Raw genomic sequence first — 24,200 nt, forward strand, 5'->3', positions numbered from 1 at the left:
CCCAATGTTGGAAAAGGGGCCTAGTGGGAGGTGTTGAATCACAGGGGTGAATCCCTCATAAATGGCTTAGTGACATTCTCATGATAATGAGTGAGTTCTTGAGATACCTGGTTGTTTAAGAGAGTGTGACACCTCCCCCATCCCCTTGTTCCCTCTCTTGCCACGTGACATGTCTGCTCCTGCTTAGCCTTCTGCCACAATTGTAAGCTCCCTGGGACCTCACCAGAAGCTGAGCAGATGCCAGCGTCATTCTTCTTGTACAGCCCACAAAACTGTGAGTCAATTAAACCTCTTTTCTTTATAAATTACCCAGTCTCAGGTACTTCTTTATAGCAACCCCAAATGGACTAAACAGAAAATTGATACCAAGAGTGGGGTGTTGCTATAAAGATGCCTGAAGATGTGGAAGTGGCTTTGGAACTGGGTAATGGGCAGAGATTGAAGGAGTTTGGAGGGCTCAGAAGAAGATAGGAAGATGATAGAGAGTTTGAAACTTCTTAGAGACTGTGAGATGGTTGTGACCAACATGCTGATAGAAATATCAGCAGTGAAGGCCAGGCTGACAAGGTCTCAGAGGGAAATGTGGAGTTATTGGGAATTGAGTAAAGTCACCTGTGTTATGCCCTAGCAAAGGGCTGGGCTGCATTGTGTCCGTGTCCAAGTGTTACTGGAAAGGGGTCCTGATCCAGATCCCGAGAGGGTTCTTGGGTCTCACACAAGAAAGAATTCAGGGGGCTGGGTGCGGTGGCTCACACCTGTAATCCTAGCACTTTGGGAGGCTGAGGCAGGTGGATCACCTGAGGTCGGAAGTTTGAGCCCAGACTGACCAACGTGGTGAAACCCTGTCTCTACTAAAAATACAAAAATTAGCCCAGTGTAGTGACAGGCACCTGTAGTCCCAGCTACTTGGGAGGCTGAGGCAGGAGAATTGCTTGAACTTGGGAGGCAGAGGTTGCAGTGAGCTGAGATCACACCATTGCACTCCAGCCTGGGTGACAGAGCGAGACTGCATCTCAAAAAAAAAAAAAAAAAAAAAAAGATGTCTTAGTTCTACATCTTAAGGCCCATTGAAATTATCTCATAAAAATCATAGTCTGACAGATATTTTATGACAAAGTATGCTTCACAGTTTTTATCTCTGATCAGACATTAGAAGCCCGTGGGAGGCTGCTTGTCAAAGCCTGTGAATCTCCCTTTTTATTCCCAAGGAAACGCTTAATTCTGAAAAGCACTGTTAAAAATGAGTCTGGCCACTGAATATAAAGTACTATTGTGAATAAATGATATTCTCTACTTCCTGGAGTCCTAAGTAGAGTTCACTTTGGTCTCAAAATTTCTGCTACTGACAAGTCTGATTCCATATAAACTTTTTTCAGTTGCTGTGTGAGCAGCACCATCGTGCATTACAGGAAAAAAAGCTTCTCTGCTCTCTACTTTGTACACCTGCTTGAACTGATGTGGGCTTCAGAATTTGCCATGTTTGGTTGGAACAGTAGCTTACTAGAGGATTTGGGCCTCTGGATAAATCAATGAAAGCACCAAAACCAATAGTAATAAGACCACCATTTAGTAGAATGGTGTATATCTGCGCCTGAAAGGAATTTTTGTTTTGGGTGGAAGTTTAAGTTTGAACAGGCCCCATATCTGATAAGCAGCGGCCTGGCCTGCAGGATAATCTATAGTGAATGAGTTCCAGGACAAGAGTGCCCTACTGCTGGCCTCCAGCCCTTAGAGGATGGGGGTGAGATTGAAAATTTGTAAAGATAAGGCCAGGAGCAGTGGCTCACGCCTGTGATCCCACCACTTTGAGAGGCTGAGGCAGGCAGATCGCCTGAGGTCAGGAGTTTGAGACCAGCCTGGCCAACATGGCGAAACCCCATTTCTACTAAAAATACAAAAATTAGTTAGACATGGTGGCACGTGCCTGTAATCTCAGCTACTCAGGAGGCTGAGGCAGGAGAATCACTTGAACCCAGGAGGTGGAGGCTGCAGTGAGTTGAGAACACACCACTGCACTCCAGCCTGGGTGACAGAGCAAGTCTCCATCTCAACAAAAAAAAAAGAAAAAAAGAAAATTTATAAAGATAAGCTAAGATCTAGGGAAAATTGGAAATTTATTTGGGGGTTTATTTGTTGAACTGGAATTTGAAAGGAGTTGTTTGAGGTCATTATGTCTTTCAGTTAAACTGGTTATCAGACACCTATCAGGGACATGAAAGTTCTAGTGAATTTCTTTTTCAAGAGCCCAGCAGTGTGTATTTTAAAGAGTGAAGTGTGTGTCTTGGTATTATCAGTAATGTCTGTAACTCGAAGGGGAATAAGGAGTGTTCTGGCCTGTGCTTGTAGTGTGGCCTTAGTGTATGTGGAGACCTATATGATTTTGATTTATATTTTGGGTGTGTGCAAGGCAAGAAATTCTGAGAGTTTGTTTTTTTTTTTTGTTTTTTTTTTTTACTTTATAGGGGACAATTTTTAGGTTATGGCCCAATAATTTATAATAAGTGTGAAGATAGGGCCATTTGTTGACCTGGGTGTCCAGTGCTAAGAGGCCTGCCAGAAGTTTGGCCAAGTGTGTTGTTTCTGGGTCCTGTCCTTTATTAGGGACATCTTGGCTAAGGGATGAAGGCAGCAACATCCCACCAAGCTCCATCACATATGAAGGTTGGCAGCGCCATCTGCGTAGCCTACAAACTCCCATTACTTGTCACCCAGGTAATCCCAAAGGGCTTTCTATGTAGTCAAGGAGTCTGAGGATGGGGTGACCTCCTCTAGCAACCTGGCATCTTGCAAGAGACTGAGAACAGGGGAAGCCACTGCCTCCTGCAAGTGGAATATGCCAGAGGCTCCAGGTTTGGATCTATCTGGTCTTACAGAGGCCTTGGTAGCCATGCTGTGTTTGTGGGTGCTGTTTCATGACCCAAAGCAAAACAGGCAGCTGAATATGGAGGGTCACAGGCTCAGGTTCTGTGAGAGCCTCTATTTCTAGGACATCCCAGCAGGTAGTTAGGCATTTGTTATTCTCATGGTGTATAGAATGAGGCTGAAAATGGCAGTCTTTTTGCATCCGAAACCCTGGGGCAGCTAATGGCCATCATAAGTGGTCCAGAGATTCTAGGAGGCCTAAGAAGAGATTGCCTAAGCCTATACAATGAAGGAGTCATTTGAAGGCACTAGCAGGAGTGCCTGTTGATTATAATTTGTAAGTATAATTTGCAAATGCAGTGTCTGTTGCCCCCAGGACCTACAAAGGGATAAAAGACTTATATGTCCTTATTGAGTGTGGCAAATTAATCTCCTTGAAAGAGGATGTTATCAATGTAACGTTTTACTTGTGCTCCTGGAGAAAGGTGGATGTCATCAAGATCTTATCTGAAACGATTGCATGTGACAAAAAAGCTGCTAGGGTACCCCATGGATAGCCTGAAAAGGCATATTGTGTCCCTTTGGAGGTAGAGGAAAACTGTAGCTGAGAGATTGTTTAAATAAGCACTGAACAGAACATCTTAGCCAATCTATAACAGAAAACTACTTACCAGTTGTTGATTGGATAGAATCAGTAATCTTAATAATATTGGATATTGGGTCTAGGGCCTTGATGCATGAGAGCACAGCATTAAGTTTACAGCAATCCATCACGAACTCTCCCACCACCTTTTTAAAGGTTTAAGAACAAAGTAAAATTGAGCTGTTGTATTAGTCTGTTTTCACACTGCTATAAAGAACTCCCTAAGACAGGTAATTTATAAAGGAAAGAGTTTTAATTGACTCACAGTTCTGCATGGCTGAGGAGGCCTCAGGAAACTTAGAATGATGGTGGAAGGCAAAGGAGAAGAAAGTGCCCTTTTCACAAGGCAGCAGGAGACAGAAAGAGCACAGGGGAAACTGCCACTTTTAAACCATCAGATATGATGAGAACTCCCTCCCTCTCACTAGAACAGCATGGGAGAAACTGTCCCCATGATCCAATCACTCATCAGGTCCCTCCCTTGACGTGTGGGGATTACAATTTGAGATAAGATTTGGGTGGGAACACAGAGCCAAATCATATTATTCTGTCCCTGGCCCCTCCCAAATCTCATGTCCTCTTCACATTTCAAAAATCATGCCTTCCCAACAGTCCCCCAAAGTCTTAACTCATTCCACCATTAGCCCAAAATTCTAAATCCAGCATCTGAGACAAGGCAAGCCCCTTCCACCAATGAGCCTATAAAACAAAAAACAAGTTAGGTACTTCCAAGATACAATGGGGATACAGGCATTGGGTAACTGTTCCCGTTCCAAATTGGAGAAATCAGCCAAAACAAAGGGTTCCACAGCTCTATGCAAGTCCAAAAGCCAGTGGGGCAGTCATGAAATCTTAAGCTGTGAAATGATCTCACATCCAGGACATGCTGATGCAAGAGGTGGGCTTCCACAGCTCTGCCCCTGTGGCTCTGCAGGGTACAGCCCCTGTGGCTGTTTTCATGGGCTCATGTTGAGTGCCTGTGGCTTTTTAGGTGCATGGTGCAAGCTGTCAATGGATCTACCATTCTGGGGTCTGGAGGACAGTGGCCCTCTTCTCACAGTTCCACTAAGCAGTGCCCAGTGGGGACTCTGTGTGGGGGCTTCAACCCCACATTTCCCTCTGCATTGCCCTAGTAGGCATTCCCCATGAGGGTTCTGCCCCTGCAGCAGACTTCTGCATGGACATCCAGGCAGTTCCATACATCCTCTAAAATCTAGGTGGAGGCTCCCAAAGCTCAACTTTTGTCTTCTGTGCACCCACATGCACAGTGCCACATGGAAGCTGCCAAGGCTTGGAGCTTGCACCCTCTGACGCAATGGCTCAGTCAATGGCAAATGGCTTGGCCCTTTTTAGCCACGGTTGAAGCTAGAGTGGCTGTGATATAGGGCACCAACTCTTGGGGATGCACAGAGCAGTGGTGCCCTGGGCCTGGCCCACAAAACCATTTTTTCCTCCTACACCTCTGGGCCTGCCTGTAACTGGGGAGGCTGCTGCAAAGATCTCTGACATGCCCTGCAGACATTTTCCCCGTTATCTTGGCTATTAACATTTGGTTCCTTTTTACTTATGCAAATTTCTGCAGCCAGCTTGAATTTCTCCCTAGAAAATGGGTTTTTCTTTTCTACCTCATCATCAGGCTGCAAATTTTCCTAAGTTTTATACTCTGCTTTCCTTTTAAATAAAAGTTCCAGTTTTAGATAATCTGTTTGTGAATGCATATGACTGAATGCTTTCAGAAACAGCCAGGACACTTCGTGAACACTTTGCTGCTTAGAAATTTCTTCCCCAGATACCCTAAATCATCTCTCTCAAGTTCAAAGTCCCACAGATCTCTAGGGCAGGGGTAAAATGCTGCCAGTCTCTTTGCTAAAGGATAGCATGAGTGACCTTTACTCCAGTTCCCATTAAGTTCCTCATTTCCATCTGAGACCACCTCAGCCTGGACTTCATTGTCCATATCACTATCAGCAGTTTGGTCAAAATCATTCAACAAGTCTCTAGGAAGTTCCAAACTTTCCCATATCTTCCTGCCTTCTTTCTGTTCTTTTTTAATACATAAGGGATTTTTTTTCTTCAACTTTTATTTTAAGTTGCAGGATACGTGTGCAGGATGTGCAGAATTGTTACATAGGTAGATGTGTGCCATGGTGGTTTGCTGTACACATCATCCCATCACCCAGGTATTAAGCCCAGTGTCCATGATCTATTCTTCCTGATGCTTTCCCTCCCACTACCCCTCCATTTTCTTCTGAGTCCTCCAAACTGTCTCAACCTCTGCCTGTTACCCAGTTCCAAAGTCATTTCCACATTTTCAGGTTATCTTTATAGCAGTGCCCCTCTCCCGGTACCAATTCTCTGTATTAGTCTGTTTTCACACACTATAAAGAACTGCCTGAGACTGGGTAATTTATAAAGGCAGGAGGTTTAATCGACTCACAGTTTTGCATGGCTGGGAGGCCTCAGGAAACTTAAAATCATGGTGGAAGGTGAAGGAGAAGGAAGTACCCTCTTCACAAGACAGCAAGAGAGAGAGCGTACAGGGGAAACTGCCACTTTTAAACCATCGGATCTAGTGAGAACTCCCTCACTATCAAAGAACAGCATGGCGGAAACCTCCCCACAATTCAATCACTTCCCACCAGGCCCCTCCCTCGATACGTGGGGATTACAATTCAAGAGGAGATTTGGGTAGGGACACAGAGCCAAACCATATCAGTTCTCAAATGTAGAAGTAATGGGGACCCTTTATTAACTGGATTTTCTCTATATATATATACATAATACATTTTAATTCTTGAAGGCCCAGTTTTAACTTGTTGGGCCATATTAACTATTTTAACTGGGGGTTCACAGTGTCACATTTTATCAAGGCAGTTTGTAACCACTATAAACTTATTTTAATTTTAATTTATCAGAGTATATATGCCCAATATAAACAGCAATGGATACTCTGACTATGGGAAATTTAGGCAAGGCTATAGTTAAAGTGAGACATACCCATTTTTTTCTTTATATTATATTTAGTTACCTTCTCAAGATCATAGGGAAGCACAGTGTTTAAATTTCATGTGATTCCCATGAATGACTATAATTTGAGCCCAGTGTTGATTAAATCCATGAAGTTTTGTCAACTGGTGTATTGTAACAAATGCTAAAGTTAAGTTAAAACCTGTGTTGTAGAAGCACAAAAGCCAACCAGACCTTTTAAAATCTTTTTGTTATATAAATTCTTTAGTATATAAGTTTTGGATTTCTAATTGGGTCAAAATATGGAACTTTGTTTACATTTAGTTATATATTATGATAGATAGATAGATAGATAGATAGATAGATAGATAGATGATAGATATGAGGTATCTATTTATTATATTCCCTCCCTCCCTTCCTCCCTTCTTCCTTTCCTCTTTTCCTCTCTCCCATCCCTTCCTTCTTCCCTTCCTTGTAGTGCCTGAGCCTCCAATTGTTTTCCCTCATTGCCAGTGAAGTGCCTTCCTGATACTTGACACTTTAAAAGTTTGGTTGAAAACCTTACTTCTTAATGTAATAAAAACTAGAACTGGGCTGGGCGGCTTATGCTTGTAATCCCAGGGAATCAGAAGGCTGATATGGGAGGCTTGCTTGAGCCTAGGAATTGGAAGCTGCAGCAAGCTATGATCATGCCACTGCACTTCAGCCTGGGTGATAGAATGAGACCCCATCTCTTAAAATACACACACACACGCACAGGCTGTAACTATTTCTTCTAGTATGTGATCACTTTGGTAGTAGTATAAATGCAATACTATAGATATATTATGGGGGTAAATAGATTTATGCAGGCTTGCTGGGGCTAACCACTATTTTTGAACAAAAGTGTGATTTTGTCGGTTAAAAAAACTGGAGTTGGTAGTAGAGGAAAGCCAGTTATAATCTGCGGAAAATCAGCTGATGAAATTACTTCTGTTCTTGAAGGTGCTGGACACTCTGTAGCTTTTGGTTTATCCTTAAATGAGACTTACTGTATGAAGCATGTGGAGCAGATTCTGCAGTAGCAGGGACAAGGCAAGAATGAGGGAGCTGGTTGTAAAAATAGTAATTTCCAATTTTTGTGGAAGTATCACATATGAAGGAACCAACTTAGACAGATACATAGAGATGAAGAAGAAGTGCATTAAAATTTATTGTGATGAAATATTATTCCATGTTTCCCTTATAGACAGATTTAATTTTTTAATCTCTAAGCAAATTTCCATGGAAGTGAAGGATAAACCAAACAAATTAGGTAAAACTACATGAAATAAGCATTTTTCTTCCTCTTCATCTTTCTTTTTCTTCCCTTCCCCTTCCTCCTCCTCTCGCCATCCTCCTCTTCTTTTTCTTCTTGGATGATTTTATCCCATTTAGTTGAGTAAATTGCTGCTGCAGTTGACAATTAGAGTTAATATAGCCAAGAGTCAGGGTTTAGGTCAATACTCTTTGTGTATTTAGGTTTATAAGGCAAGCTTAAGAACTTTAAAATAGAGATTTAAGTTCTAGTTAGTTGTAAATGGACAATTTAAAGTGATTTATAAAGATTACCTTTCTTACTCAAGGAAAAGGTAACTCTAACACTATAGCTATTTTTAGGCTCTAAAATGGTCTTGAGGGAAATTTATTCTGAGGCTGTAGGACTATCAAAAAGACGTTAAAGCTCTCTAGGATGTGAGAGAAGCAGCATGACAATTCCAAGTAGGAAAGTGAGCATGGCTTATTTTTGCAATAAGAAATGAAGTAAGGAAAGCATTTTGTTTTTTAAAAAAGAAAGCTTGAATGTAAAAAATATCTGAGCCTTTCTGTGCTTCTTTCTACTTTAATATGACATGACATATTTATGACCTTTCTGCATCATGTGTCTTTATGTGAACAGAAAACATCCTCAAGGATCCTCAGATGCTGCAGTAACCTTCAAGCAAACACAGCAGACAATATGTGATGTCTTAACTGTGGAATAGATACGTGGCAATTTAAAGGCCTTTCTTCTTTGCTGGTTGTCTGGTGACTAAGCCTACTTAAAGAAGCCTTACTTCCAGTTTTGTTTTTGTTTTTTTGTTTTGTTTTGTTTTGTTTTTTGAGATGGAGTCTTGCTTTGTTGCCCAGGCTAGAGTGCTGTGGTGTGATCTCTGCTCACTGCAACCTCTGCCTCCTGGGTTCAAGTGATTCTCCTGCCTCAGCCTCTCAAGTAGCTGGGATTACAGGTGCCCACCACCACACCTGGGGCTAATTTTTGTATTTTTAGTAGTGATGAGGTTTCACCATGTTGGCCAGGCTGGTCTCAAACTTCTGACCTCAAGTGATCTGCCCGCCTTAGCCTCCCAATGTGCTGGGATTACAGGCGTGAGCCACTGCGCCCAGCACCTTCCCTCTAGTTCTTACCAGGCCCTCACCATCTGTACCTGGACTACCATAACCCCCCACCATCTAATTAGGCCCAGACATGAAGTCAGACATAACCTTTTAAAAATCTGATCATGTCATTTTTTTGGTTTTAAAATCACCCACATCCAGTCTCATATGTTTCTGGTAAAGGTCTAAATGTACACATGTCTTTCAGAGAAAAGTGTTTGCCAATATTTATCAAGAATTTAGAAAACAAAGCCAGGCCCAGTGACACGTGACTATAGTCCCAGGTACTTGGGAGGCTGGGGCCAGAGGATCACTTGTGGCTAGGAATTGGAGCCCAGCCTGAGCAACATGATGAGATCCCATCTCAAAAACAAAACAAAACAAACCCCTACTGGTCAAAAGGTATATATATTTGTGAGACAGAATCTTACTATGTTGCTCAAGCTGGTCTCAAGCTGCTGGGCACAAGGGATCCTCTTGACTCAGCCTCCCAAACAGCTGGGATTACAGGCACATGCTACAGCACCAGTTTAGTTGTTCTACTTTTATTTGTTTATTTATTTTTATTTAAACTGATTTTATTTATTTATTTATTTGTTTTTTGAGATAGGATCTTGCTTGTTGCTCAGGCTGGAGTGCAGTAGCACAATCTTGGCTCACTTTAACCTCCATCTCCAGGGTTCAAGGGATTCTCATGCCTCAGCCACCTGAGTAGCTGGGAATACAGGAGCACGCCATCACACCCGGCTAATTTTTTAAAAAAATTATTTTTAGTAGAGATGGGGTTTCACCATATTGCCCAGGCTGGTTTCGATTTCCTGGCCTCGTGTGATCTGCCTTTGTCTGCCTCCCAAAGTGCTGAGATTACAGGCGTGAGCCACTGAGCCTGGCCTAGCAGTTCTACTTTTAAGCATCCATCCTCAGCAAGTAGCTGTAAGGAAAGTGCTGTATATGAGAGACGTTTATTGCAGCCTTATTTAAGATAATGAAAAATTGGAGGGAAACCTAATGTACACATAGAGAAATAGTTAAGTAGTCATTGTATATCTATTCAATGAAATATTCTGTAGCTACTAAAAATACTATTTTATAGCATGGGAAAGTGTTTACGCTATAATGCTAAGTAAATATATTAAAATATAAAACTGTGTTAAAATTCAAAATCACAACATACAGAAGAAGAGTTGAAGCCTTCATTTTTCTCCTCTCATCTCCATCACTTTACCCTCAGGCGAGGTAGAGAAGTAGCCTAGATGGGAGGATAATACATCCTCATATTGCCTTCTACTACTGACAAAAGCTAGTCTTTGAAATGCCCTAAGAAAATGATTTACTGTAACAGGAAAGAAAGAAGTGCTTTCAATGCTTTGATATTTCTTTAACTTTTTTTTTTTTTGACAGTCTTGCTCTGTCTCGCAGGCTGGAGTGCAGTGGAGCAATCTCAGCTCCCTGCAACCTCTGCCTCTCAGGTTCAAGTGATTCTTCTGCCTCAGCCTCCCGAGTAGCTGGTATTACAGGCGCCTGCCACAACACCAACTAGTTTTTGTATTTTTAGTAGAGACAGGCTTTCACTATGTTTGCTAGGCTGGTCTTGAACTCCTGACCTCAAGTGATCCGCCTGTTTCAGCCTCCCAAAGTGCTGGGATTACAGGCGTGAGCCACTGTGTCTGGCCTAAAAATTATTATTTTTTAATCAACATGTAATAATTGTACATATTTATGGGGACAGTGTAATATTTTGATACACATTGTGTATCATATTGATATATACAATATGTTATGATCAATTCAGGGTAATTAACATATCCGTCACCTCAAACAGTTATCATTTATTTGTATTGGAAACCATTAAAAATCCTCTTCTAGCTGTTTAAAAATATACAATAAATTGTTGTTAACTATATTCACCCTACAGTGTTATAGACTACTAGAACTTATTCCTCCTATCTAGCTGTAATATGGTATCCATTAACCAACCTCTTTTATCCTTCCTCCCTCTCTTCTTCCTAGCCTCTAGTAACCACTATTCTACTCTATACTTACACGAGAACAACTTTTTTTTTTTTTTTTTTTTTTTTTTTTTTTTTTATTGATCATTCTTGGGTGTTTCTCGCAGAGGGGGATTTGGCAGGGTCATAGGACAATAGTGGAGGGAAGGTCAGCAGATAAACAAGTGAACAAAGGTCTCTGGTTTTCCTAGGCAGAGTGTGTGTGTCCCTGGGTACTTGAGATTAGGGAATGGTGATGACTCTTAATGAGCATGCTGCCTTCAAGCATCTGTTTAACAAAGCACATCTTGCACCGCCCTTAATCCATTTAACCCTGAGTGGACACAGCACATGTTTCAGAGAGCACAGGGTTGGGGGTAAGGTCATAGATCAACAGGATCCCAAGGCAGAAGAATTTTTCTTAGTACAGAACAAAATGAAAAGTCTCCCATGTCTACTTCTTTCTACACAGACACGGCAACCATCCGATTTCTCAATCTTTTCCCCACCTTTCCCCCTTTTCTATTCCACAAAACCGCCATTGTCATCATGGCCCGTTCTCAATGAGCTGTTGGGTACACCTCCCAGACGGGGTGGTGGCCGGGCAGAGGGGCTCCTCACTTCCCAGTAGGGGCGGCCGGGCAGAGGCGCCCCTCACCTCCCGGACGGGGCGGCTGGCCGGGCAGGGGGCTGACCCCCCACCTCCCTCCCGGACGGGGCGTCTCGCCGGGTGGGGGGCTGACCCCCCCACCTCCCTCCCGGACGGGGCGGCTGGCCAGGCGGGGGGCTGACCCCCCCCACCTCCCTCCCGGACGGGGCGGCTGGCCGGGCGGGGGGCTGACTCCCCCACCTCCCTCCCGGACGGGGCGGCTGGCCGGGCAGAGGGGCTCCTCACTTCCCAGTAGGGGCGGCGGGGCAGAGGTGCCCGTCACCTCCCGGACGGGGTGGCTGGCTGGGTGGGGGGCTGACCCCCCACCTCCCTCCCGGACGGGGCGGCTGGCCGGGCCGGGGGCTGACTCCCCCACCTCCCTCCAGGACGGGGCGGCTGGCCGGGCCGGGGGCTGACCCCCCCACCTCCCTCCCGGACGGGGCGGCTGGCCGGGCAGAGGGGCTCCTCACTTCCCAGTAGGGGCGGCCGGGCAGAGGCGCCCCTCACCTCCTGGACGGGGCGGCTGGCCGGGCAGGGGGCTGACCCCCCACCTCCCTCCCGGACGGGGCGTCTCGCCGGGCGGGGGGCTGACCCCCCCACCTCCCTCCCGGACGGGGCGGCTGGCCGGGCAGAGGGGCTCCTCACTTCCCAGTAGGGGCGGCGGGGCAGAGGTGCCCCTCACCTCCCGGACGGGGTGGCTGGCTGGGTGGGGGGCTGACCCCCCACCTCCCTCCCGGACGGGGCGGCTGGCCGGGCCGGGGGCTGACTCCCCCACCTCCCTCCCGGACGGGGCGGCCGGCCGGGCTGAGGGGCTCCTCACTTCCCAGTAGGGGCGGCGGGGCAGAGGCGCCCCTCACCTCCCGGACGGGGTGGCTGCCGGGCAGAGACGCTCCTCAGTTCCCAGACAGGGTGGCAGCCGGGCGGAGGGGCTCCTCACTTCTCAGATGGGGTGGTTGCCAGGCCGAGGGTCTCCTCACTTCTCAGACGGGCGGCCGGGCAGAGACGCTCCTCACCTCCCAGATGGGGCGGCGGGGCAGAGGTGCTCCCCACATCTCAGACGATGGGCGGCAGGGCAGAGACGCTCCTCACTTCCTAGGTGGGATGGCGGCCGGGCAGAGACGCTCCTCACTTTCCAGACTGGGCAGCCAGGCAGAGGGGCTCCTCACATCCCAGACGATGGGCGGCCAGACAGAGACGCACCTCACTTCCCAGACGGGGTGGCGGCCGGGCAGAGGCTGCAATCTCGGCACTTTGGGGGGCCAAGGCAGGCGGCTGGGAGGTGGAGGTTGTAGCCGAGATCACGCCACTGCACTCCAGCCTGGGCACCATTGAGCACTGAGTTAACGAGACTCCGTCTGCAATCCCGGCACCTCGGGAGGCCGAGGCTGGCGGATCACCCGTGGTTAGGAGCTGGAGACCAGCCCGGCCAACACAGTGAAACCCCGTCTCCACCAAAAAAATACGAAAACCCGTCAGGCGTGGCGGCGCGCGCCTGCAATGGCAGGCACTTGGCAGGCTGAGGCAGGAGAATCAGGCAGGGAGGTTGCAGTGAGCCGAGATGGCAGCAGGACAGTTCAGAGGGAGACTGGGAGAGGGAGAGGGAGAGGGAGCTAATTTTTGTATTTTTAGTAGTGACAGGATTTTGCCATGTTGGTCAGGCTGGTCTCGAACTCCTGACCTCAAGTGATCCACCTGCCTTGGCCTCTCAAAGTGCTGGGATTACAGGCGTGAACTACCGCACCCGGCCTCTCATGGGGAATTTAAAAGGTTCAGTGGCTTTCCCAAAGTCACAAAGCTTGGTGACTTTGGTGACCATGGTGAAGCATGGACTTGGGAACCTGGGCAGTGTGGCTCCGGAATCCATTTCACTGCCAAGCCATATAACCACTTCTCAGCTGTCACGAGCACAACTTTTTAAGGTCCTACATATGGGTGAGAACAACTTTTTTAGCTCTTGTATATGAGTGAAGACATGTGGTATTTGTCTGTCTATGCGTGATTTATTTCCCTTAACAGAATGTCCTCCCAGATCATTCGTGTTGCTACAAATGATAGGCTTTTATTCTTTTTTATGGCTGAATAGTATTCCATTGTGTATATATACCATTTTTTTATCCATTTATCTGTTGATGGACACAGGTTGATTCCACATCTTGTCTATTGTAAATGTTGCAGTAAACATGGGGGTGCATAGATCCCTTCAATATACTGATTTCGTTTTCTTTGGATAAATACCCAATAGTGGGATTGCTGGATCCTATGGTAGTTCTATTTTTAGCTTTTTAAGGAATCTCCATACTGTTTTCTGTAATGACTCTCATAATTTAGGTTCCCACTAGTAGTGTAAAAAGTCTCCCAATCAAGAAAAGCCTAGGACCAGGTGACTTCACGCTGACTTCTACCAAATCTTTAAAGAAGAACTAACACCAATTTTTCTCAAAGTATTCCAAAAAATTGAAAAGGAGGGAATTATTCTAAACCCCCTGATCTATGAGACCAGCATTACCCTGATACCAAAACCAGACATGGACATGACAAAAAAAGAAAACAACTGGCCAATATCCCTGATGAACATAGATGTAAAAAATCCTCAACAAAATGCCAGCAAATGCAATCCAACAGCACATCAACAAGATAATACGTGAGGATAAGTGGGATTTATCCCAGGGATGCAAGGATGGTTCAATATATGCAAATCAATAAACATGATACCTCACATAAACAGAATTAAGGACAAAATCCACATGAGCATCTCAATAGACACAGCAAAAGCATTAGATAAAATTCAGCATCACTTCATGATAAAAGTCCTCAACAAACTGGGCATAGAAGGAACATACCTAAACATAATAAAGTCCATATATGACAAACCTATAGCTAACATCATACTGAATGGGGAAAAACTGAAGTCTTTTTCTTTAGGAAATGGAACAAGACAAGAATACCCAATTTCACCACTCTCATTCAACACACTACTGGAAATCCTAGCTGGAGCAAGAGAAAGAAACAAAGGACATCCAAATGGGAAAAGAGAAAGTCAAATTGTCCCCACTACAAAAATTTTACCTAGGAATAAGTTTAACCAAGGATGCAAAAGATCTCTACAATGAAAACTACAAAACACTGATGAAAGATATTGAAAAAGCCACACAAAAAATGGAAATACATCCTATGTTCATGGACTAGAAGTGTTAATATTTTTGAAATGACCATACTACCAAAAGCAATCTACAGATTCAACACAGTCCCTATCAAAATACTGATGACATTTTTCATAGAAATAGAAAAAACAATTCTCAAATTTGTGTGGAACCACAAAAGACCCCAAGTAGCCAAAGAAACCCTGAGTAAAAAGAACAAAGATGGAGGCATCACACTATCTAACATCAAAATCTATAATACTACAAAGCTATAGTAACCATAACAGCATAGTATTGGTAGAAAAACATACACATAGACCAGTGGAACAGAATAAAGAACTCTGAAATAAATCCACATATTTACAGCCAACCAGTTTTTGACAAAGGTGCTGATAATATACACTGGGGAAAGGATAGCCTCTTCAATAAATGGAGTTGGGAAAATTGGATATCCATATGCAGAAGAATAAAACTAGACCTCTATCTCTCATCATATAGAAAAACTACCTCAAAATGGATGAAAGATTTAAAGGTAGGACCTCAAACTATAAAACTACTAGAAGAAAACAAAAGGGAAATCCTTCAGGACATTGGACTGGGTAGATTTTATGAATGTTTTGCTATTTCTTTGTGGCACCCAAAGCATGGCCATTGAGGCATGTGGCTGTGATGCTTTAAAAAGATGCATAAACGGGACAATTAAACACTAACAGGCCTCTAGGAAGGATTTCTAAGCAGGAGTTTAAGTAATAGCTGTGGGGTGGCCAGGCTGAAGTTACTGGAATAATAAAGTAAAAGATCATCTTCAATATATATGGGAGCTATGTTAACGCACACTGAGGAAAATGTTTCTCTACATCCATGATATGTGCTTTATCTGTGAATTTCTCTCTCTTTCTCTATCTCTTTCTCTCCCTCTCTCTCTCTCTCTGTGCATGCGCGCGTGTGTGTGTGTGTGTGCATTTGATTCAGTGGTTACCTGCTGAACTGTCAGGAAGAAAAACAGAAGTATATCTTTATCTCACAATGGTAGAGAGATCCCTTTCCATTGTTTATGGAATGTTATTCTAGACTCAGAAACTCATATTTTGGGAAACATCCTACTAAGGGCGTGTCCTATGGATTGATAAGGACTGAAGAGGGCAGGAGGCAGGGGTCTGGGTGAACATTTTTTGGGTGGTGGTGGTGATTTTTCCTTAGACGATTGAAGCAATCACTTTTGGTGCCTGATTGGCAGTTTTCATTTTGCTCTGCAGTCTCCTTTCATTGCCTCCAATCTCCCAGTAAAGCCTGCTATTCTCTTCCAGCCTTGTGGGACACTGTTGTGAGGAGACTAAGAGGTGAGTTAGTAAAGGCACTGTAGGGCCTTTCCTACCTCACCCTTCTACCAGATCAGTGGCACAAATGGCAGCATTGCCCTGGGAAGGACAGTAGGCCTGAGTTCCAGGCACTGACAAGAAGAAGAAAGAGCTATGGCAAGAACAGAGCAGGGAGTGGGGGAGAAGGACACCATAGGGAGACGGGGAGCAGGACACTATAGGGAGAGGGGGCTGCCAAATGGATGACTCCAAAGTGCACTGAGACCAGGGGCTTCCTTTCCAAATAGATTAAACAGAGATTTGACCTCAGGTTGTTCATTAGAACAATCTGGAGCTCTTAAATGCAGCTAATGCCTGGGACCAGCCTTGTAACAATTGAATCTGAATGTCTGTGGATGGGGTCTGGGCATCAATGTTTTCTATTTATTTATTTATTTATTTATTTATTTATTTATTTATTTATTTATTTTTGAGATGGAGTCTCGCTCTGTTGCCCAGGCTGGAGTGCAATGGCGTGATCTTGGCTCACTGCAACCTCTGCCTCCCGGATTCAAGCGATTCTCCTGCCTCAGCTTCCTGAGTAGCTGGGATTACAGGCGCCTGTCACCATCCCTGGCTAATTTTTGTATTTTTAGTACAGACAGGGTTTCACCATGCTGGCCAGGCTGGTCTTGAACTCCCAACCTCAGGTGATCCACCCACCTTGGCCTCCCAAAGTGCTGGGATTACAGGCGTGAGCTACCATGCCTGGCTGGCATCAATGTTTTCTAAAGCTTCCCAGGTGACTCTAATGTGCAGCCAGGTTGAAACCACCACACTAGAGGAAGATGATCATGAGTGGGAGAAGCTAACCTTATAAATGCATCATATAAATCTCAACAGCAACATTGCAAAAAATTTACACATATTAAAAAGTCTAGAAGGAAATATGGTTGATTCTCATGATGATAGTTATGTTCCATAAAGTCTGTGAACACTGAATTAGTGAATACTGAGTCATTGTTTCTATATGAGTCATGCGTGTTTCTATATATCTCACATAGATATACACACACACATATATCACATATCTCACATAGATTATAATCTTAAATCCTAAAAACAAGTCATCTTGGTAGATTTTATTTTCTTTATTTTACAAAGAAAAAAAATGAGGTTCAAAAGTGTTAAGAGACTTGCCTAAGGCTGTTGCAATAAATGTCAGCATGGGCTGCCCCTGTCCTACTGGCCCCAGAGCTAGAGCTTCTTGAACTACTCTGCCCCACCCCACTACCTTCTGCATCCTCTGATCACATCTATATGGGAGCTGAAACAAGAAGGCAGAGCAGGACCTTCTTTGATATCAGTTAGGAGCATCCGCAGGTTGGGGAGATGACTCAAACTTTTCATTGCTGTCTGCATGTCCATGAATGACCACAAATTTTGATTTTTGGGTTACAAATAAATTTTAGGGGTAGGCAGAATTTGCAAATATAGAATCTGCATTTGCAGATCCTCTGCATGGTGAGGATCAATTCTATTTCATAATACTGGCAGTAATTGTATTTGGATAGAATTAAGTGACTTTTTCTTCCCTATTTCTCTATTGTCCTAAAAATGTCTTAAATGAGCATGTATTACTTTTATTTAAAAATGTAAAAAAACAAAAAATCTTTTCCATGGCTATCTCTGTCTATAGCCTAATTTCTTCTCAAAGTGTAGGCTTGACATAGTTACATCGGAATTACTTGAAGAGTTAGTAGAAAAGGTAGATTCCTGGCCCCTTCCTTCCAAAACTACTAAAATAGAACTCAAAGGGACCTGAGAAACTGCATTTAACAAACTTCCCCAGATTATTTTTGTGCATACTAAAGTTTTAAAAACGTTTGCTATAATGGTCTCCAAAGAGTGAGGATGAAATAAGGGTGTTTTAGATGAAGTAGCTGAAATAATTTACCAATTACAGGCCATTGCTGAAAGAACTATTAAAGGATATACTTCAATACAAGAAAGAGATTAAACCTAGAAAGAAGGATTGGGATGCATGAAGTAATGATGAGTAAAACATTTGGTAAGCATGGGGTGAATCTGAATAATTGTTTTTTAGCAAAAACAAAACAAAACAATTTAAAAAATGAATAAAAGGGGAGGGAAATAAAATGAGGTAAAATTAAAATAAAAGACAACAATATATAAACCAAAAAATAAAATTCTAAGCTCCCCATCCAACTAAATGGACCCCTCCTCTCAGCCAGGGAGGTTTTGAAAGAAACATAAAGAAACAAAAAACAAAACAAAAAACACAATTTCAGGTCATAATGGTAAGAGTGTTCTGGACAGGCCTCATCACAACTCTCCTCCCTCTGGAATTCAGGCACAACTGATCAGCATTAACATTAAAACAGAGATCTTAAGACAAAATAGATTATTTGTAGCAATAAGATATCAAATTCCAACCTGACTCTAGTAAAGCATCACATGACAGGGAGCAGGCCCTGAAAGTATCTAAGTATTTTACATCAAAATATATTTCTTTTTTTTTTTTTGAGACGGAGTCTTGCTCTGTCACCCAGGCTGGAGTGCAGTGGAATATATTTCTTTGAAGTATTTTGAAATGGCCCTGCAAAGCTGCCTGTTGTGGGGGAAATTTATATTCTGTAAAGAATCCTCTTCCCTTTTCAGGTCTTTTTCTGAGCCAGAAGAGATTTAACCAAGAATCTGGCATCTTTTAAGGTCTGATGAGAGACATTTACTATCTATTCTCTCTGAAGCCTTCTACTTGCAGGCTTCCTCTACATTACCAAGAACCTTGGTCTCTACAACCCCTTATCTTAACCCAGACACTCCTATCTATCGAATCTGGGTCTTCAGATAATAACTCTTTCCACCAATTGCCAATCAGAAAATCTTTGAATCCACCAATGACCTGTAAGCCCCACTGCTTCTAATTGTCCCACCTTTGCAGACCAAACCTATGTGTACTTTACACTTATTGGTTGATGTCTTAGGTCTCCCTAAAACACGTAAAACCAAGCACTGTAACTTAACCACAATGGGGACATGTTCTTAGGACCTCTTGGGCCATGGTCACTTATATTTTGCTAAGAATAAACTTCTTTAGATATTTTACAGAGTTTGATTCTTTTCACTGACAATAGATAACATGGAAAAAGTGGACATATGATTTGTGTTAAAGCATTCTGACGTCTTTGTAGTTTGAGAGAAGTAAGGAGATACTAATGAAACTTTTCAGAGGGAAACCTATGCATAACCTAAGGGTGATTCATCTGAGAATAAATATATAAAGTATAATTTTGAAGTCAGTAGGAAACAAATGGATTTAAACACTATATTATCCATAAAAGAAAGTAAAAAAAGAAGTCACAAAGAAGCAAAGACTGGAGAAAACGTATTTCAAGCTAAGGGAATTGTGGGCAGTGTAATAGAAGGGAGGAAAATGCTCCATTGTTGAGTCTAAGATTTATCTTTAATCTACTTACACCCTATTTACGGAGTTTGTTATGGTTTCATGGATGTTGGCAGAAGATATGAGACTCCTGGGTAAGTTACAAAGGGCTATATTATCTATATCATGGCAAGCAACATGCGCATTGTCAGAGAGAGAAAAATTTTCCTCTATCCTCTTAATTTCTTTAAATGAGGGCCTGCAAGTTAATCTGACAAAAGACAGATTAACAGGAGGAAAAAGGGTTTTATTTGTATGCATATGGGAATTAACCAAAAAAGTAGCTAGCTTCATTAAGTGGTTAAAGTTAGAGGTGCATATACCTAACTTAAAGAAAAGGAGGGAGGAGAAAGGGCTTCCATGGTAAAAACAGATTGGTTTCTGGGCAACAAATTGGGAGATAAGAAAGCTGGTGATAAAGTTTGTTTATGTGGGTGCTAGTGGTCTTTTCCATCTTCTCCATGGCCATATAACTCCTGTGGAAAGAGTACTTATGGTAGATTTGCTCTTGGCCTTTTTTTCTGGTGGTAAGACCCACCCCGAAGAGGGAGTTTATGGTAGCCTCATTTCCTAGAAGTTGCTGCTTTTAGTCAGATAAGGGACATTCCAACAAGGCTTTCTGCATCTATTGAATCTCTAATGTTTTCAACTTAAAATAATCTTTATACCAACTCCAGGGTTCTGAGTGGGGCCCCACATCCTTGCTCTTTGTCCCAGAGGGAGACATTGCCTCATCCCTGAAGGCTGCTTGCTTCAGACATAGCCCTGAGAAATGGCCCTGGTAAAGATTAGTCAAGGCCTTGAATTCTTGGTACACCCAGCAAAACATGTAGGAGCACAAGAGACACACATAACTAAGAACCCGTGAGTAAATTGGTTTCCTGGGCCATATGCTGCCTTGGGTTGGGGAAGAGAAAAAGGAGTGGAAAAGGAGGTGAGAGAAGTAGGGTAATTGAAAGCCCTGTTGCTGAAGGCCTTGTATGGGTGACATGCTACGGCATTTGATCTTTACCCTGTATATCAATCTCCAGCACAAATTTGAATTGCTGCATTCCTAACAACAAACGCTTTTTGTCATTTAATGCCAACATATGTATGTTTATTTATAAATCATATACCTACACCACTACATTAATCTATCATGTACACTTTAAAACATACATAAAAGTATATTTAAGAAAGGTAAGTTAAAATGCATAAATATATATTAAATATTAGGTGTAATATTTTCTTGGTGATTATAACCTAATTTGGGGACCATTGCAGTTTAGCATAGATAATCTTTGGAAATGTATTCATGACATCACAATTTATTTTCTATGACCCACTTACCAGTAATTGGGGTTTCTTACCAAAAATTGCTACAGTGAACACCCTAGAGCAGCTATTCTTGTTTAACTATGTCCATAGAAGACATTTTTTTGTTATAGAAATGTTCAGTCAAATGGTATGTGCTTTTTACATTTTGGTAAATAATCTTAAATGGCCCTACAAAAAAGCTGCACTAATTTACTTTCCAAATTATAGTCTATAAAGACCCCTTTTTCCACTCTCTCCAAGACTAGGTATCAATCTTAAAAATTTTGTCCAAACCAATAGGTAAGAAATAATACCATGTCAGGCCAGGTGCCGTGGCTCCTGCCTGTAATCCCAGCACTTTGGAAGGCGAGGTGTGTGGATTATTTGAGGTCAGGAGTTTGAGACCAGCTTGGCCAACATGGTGAAACCCCATCTCTACTAAAAATACAAAAATTAGCCAGCTGTGGTGGTGCATACCTGTAATCCCAGCTACTCGGGAGGATGAGAAAGGAGAATCGATTAAACCCGGGAGGTGGAGGTTGCAGTTAGCGGAGATCACACCACTGCACTCCAGCCTGGGTGACAGAGTGAAACTCCGTCTCAAAATAAAAAGTAAAAAATTTAAACCACCTTCCCGCCCTTTCTTTCTTTCTTTCTCTTTCTTTCTTTCTCTTTCTTTCTTTCTTTCTTTCTTTCTTTCTTTCTTTCTTTCTTTCTTTCTTCTTTCTTTCTTTTTCTTTCTTTCTTTCTTCTTTCTGCCTTTCTTTCTTTCTCCCTCTCTTTCTTTTCCTTCCTCCCTCCCTTCCTCCCTTCCTCCCATTCTCTCTTTTTCTCTCTCTTTCCCTCTTCTCTTTCTTTCCCTCCTTTCCCTCCCTCCCTTCCTTCCTTCCTCCCTTTCTTTTTCTTTCTCTTCCTTTCTTCTCTTTCTTTCTCTCTTTCTTTCTTCTTTCTTTCCCTCCCTTCCTTCCCTCCCTCCCTCCCTCCCTCCCTTCCTTCCTTCCATCCTTTTTGAGACAGGGTCTTGCTGTGTTGCCCAGGGTGGCTTACTGCAGCCTCAACCTCCTGAGCCCGAGTGATCCTCCCATCTCAGTCTCCCAAGTAGCTTGGACCACAGGTGCACACTGCTGTGCCAGGCTAATTTTTAAGTATTTTGTAGAGATGGAGACTCACTAAGTCGCCCAGGCTGGTCTCGAACTCCTGGACTCTAGTGATTCTCCTGCCTTGGCCTTCCAAAGTGCTGGAATTGCAGGTGTAAGCCATCATGCCCAGCCTGGTATTTCTTCAACTATGATTAAGTTCAAACGTTTTTCATTGGCTTTAAGCCTCTAAATTGCCTGTTTTCCCTCCTATGTCACTTTTTTTTTTTTTTTGAGATGGAGTCTCGCTCTGTCACCCAGGCTGGAGTGAAATGGGTTCAAGCGATTCTCCCGTGTCAGCCTCCTGAGTAGCTGGGATTACAGGCGTGCATCACTATGCTGGGCTAATTTTTATATTTTTAGTAGAGACAGGGGTTTCACCATGTTAGCCAGGCTGGTCTCAAACTCCTGACCTCAGGTGATCCACCCCCCTTGGCCTCCCAAAGTGCTAGGGTTACAGGTGTGAGCCACTGTGCCTGGCCAACATTTTTTTTAATGTAATCAAATGTATCAGTGACTTTTCTGTAGGTACTTATGTCTGGAGTGGCATGAGGTGGATGTCTCAGCATCCATAGCCTTGAATGACAGATTAGGAGTCAGTGTGGACAAAGTAACAAAGTAGACTTTATTGTTTGTGGTGTGGGGATGGGGCAAAACAAAGACCAGCAACAGGGAGGCAAGGTAGGAAGCTCTTAGGATAGCCAGGTAGTTAGATCACATGGTGAATATGAGTATGGGCTCTGAAGTCAGACTCTGGGGTGCAAATCCCAAGAGTAATATTTATAGAGTGACTTTGGGAAGTGGGGCAGGTGACTGACCTTCCTGTGCCTCAGTTTCTTCATGTAGAAATTATTAGTATTTCATTGAAAGCTTAAATGAGATAAGATATCATGGTGCCTGGCATGCAGCGATTGCTTTCTAGAAAAATAAAGGGAACTTGAGCTAGGTTGTAGGAGAAATGGAAAGGAATAGACACACTGAAAGATAGAGTCCTTAGGACTGGGAGACTACTCGAATGTAGATAAGGGAGACTGAGATGAGTGAACAGCACCTTTCTGTGATTAAAATCAGGACCATATTAATGAAAGCAACAACCAAACACAGTGACCCTGTGGTACAGAGGTTCAACAAAGAGATCCTGGAACCAGACAGCTTGTCCAAATTCCATCTGTACACACCCTTACTAGCTTTCTAACATTGGACAAATCAATGTCTTGATTTTGTTTTTTGGGGGTGGCAGGGGGGTGGTGTGGACAGAGTCTCACTGTGTCATCCAGGCTGGAGTGCAGTGGCAGGATCTTGGCTCACTGCAAGCTCTGCCTCCAGGGTCCAAGTGATCCTTGTGCCTCAGCCTCCCAAGTAACTGGGATTACACGTGTGGGCCACCACGTCCAATTAATTTTTATATTTAGTAGAGACAGGGTTTTGCCATGCCGGCCAGGCTTGTCTAGAACTCCTGACCTCAAGCGATCCACCTGCCTCAGCCTCCCAAAGTGCTGTGATTACAGGCATGAGCTGCCGCGCCCGGCCGTAATCAATAAATGTCTCTCTACCTTGGCTTCTTCACCTGAAAGTGACGAATAATTATGTCTATCTCATATGAAAAAACGAAAAGTGAAGAAATACATGCAAAGCACCCAGACCACTATCTGGCATAGAGTAGGTACTTTAAAATATTAGCTGTTATTTGGGTACGGACCTGTAGTCTCAGCTACTCGGGAGGCTGAGGCAGGAGGAATGCTTGAGCCTAAGAGTTCAAGGTTGTAGTGCGCTATGATTATGTCTGTGAATAGCCATTGCATTCTAGCCTGGACCGCATAGGGGGACCCCATCTCTGTAAAAAAAATTAGCTGTTATTATTAATCTTTTTTTTTGTGCTATAACAGGTCCTTTTTTACTCTCATCTTATTTTAGTTTTCTGAGATCCTTGTTTCTTTCAGTATGCATCCACCTATTGCCAAAATGCTATTCTTGTTTTCACTGGGTCCTAAATTTGGGGGCTTTCTTAAGCCTGCCCTTCTATATTCTAGATCTTTCTTATTCTCTGCTAAGCTAATAATATTCTATGTTATTAATAGGCATTGATAGCTTCAATTTATCCCTCCCAGATGACATTTGCATTTTAACAAGAATTTTCAAGGCCTTGACTCAAAGGAGTGAGTAATGTGGTTATTTTAGGTATCCTGGCAGAGGGAAATAGTCCTTGGGCTGGGAGAGCTTTCCTAAACTCTAAATTTATATCACACCAGCAGCTGCCTACTCTGCTCACTCAGAATATAATGTGAGGGCTGTATTGGTGGTCAGGGAATAAATTAAATCAATTAACTAATATTTTTATCACCAGGAACTGTATTAGGT

The 24,200-nt window shown here is 43.2% G+C and overlaps 1 annotated feature.

Moving 5' to 3' along the window:
- Window positions 23,089–23,286: a silencer, noted in NCBI's record as "fragment chr2:207232447-207232644 (GRCh37/hg19 assembly coordinates)". NCBI's record gives its function as "represses an EF-1alpha promoter that drives an FKBP-Casp9 reporter gene in an ReSE screen in phorbol 12-myristate 13-acetate-treated (for megakaryocytic differentiation) K562 erythroleukemia cells {active_cell/tissue: K562(+PMA)}" and the evidence as "EXISTENCE:reporter gene assay evidence [ECO:0000049][PMID:32094911]".

Source organism: Homo sapiens, chromosome 2, assembly GCF_000001405.40.
Source record: "Homo sapiens chromosome 2, GRCh38.p14 Primary Assembly".
Lineage (NCBI taxonomy): Eukaryota > Metazoa > Chordata > Mammalia > Primates > Hominidae > Homo > Homo sapiens.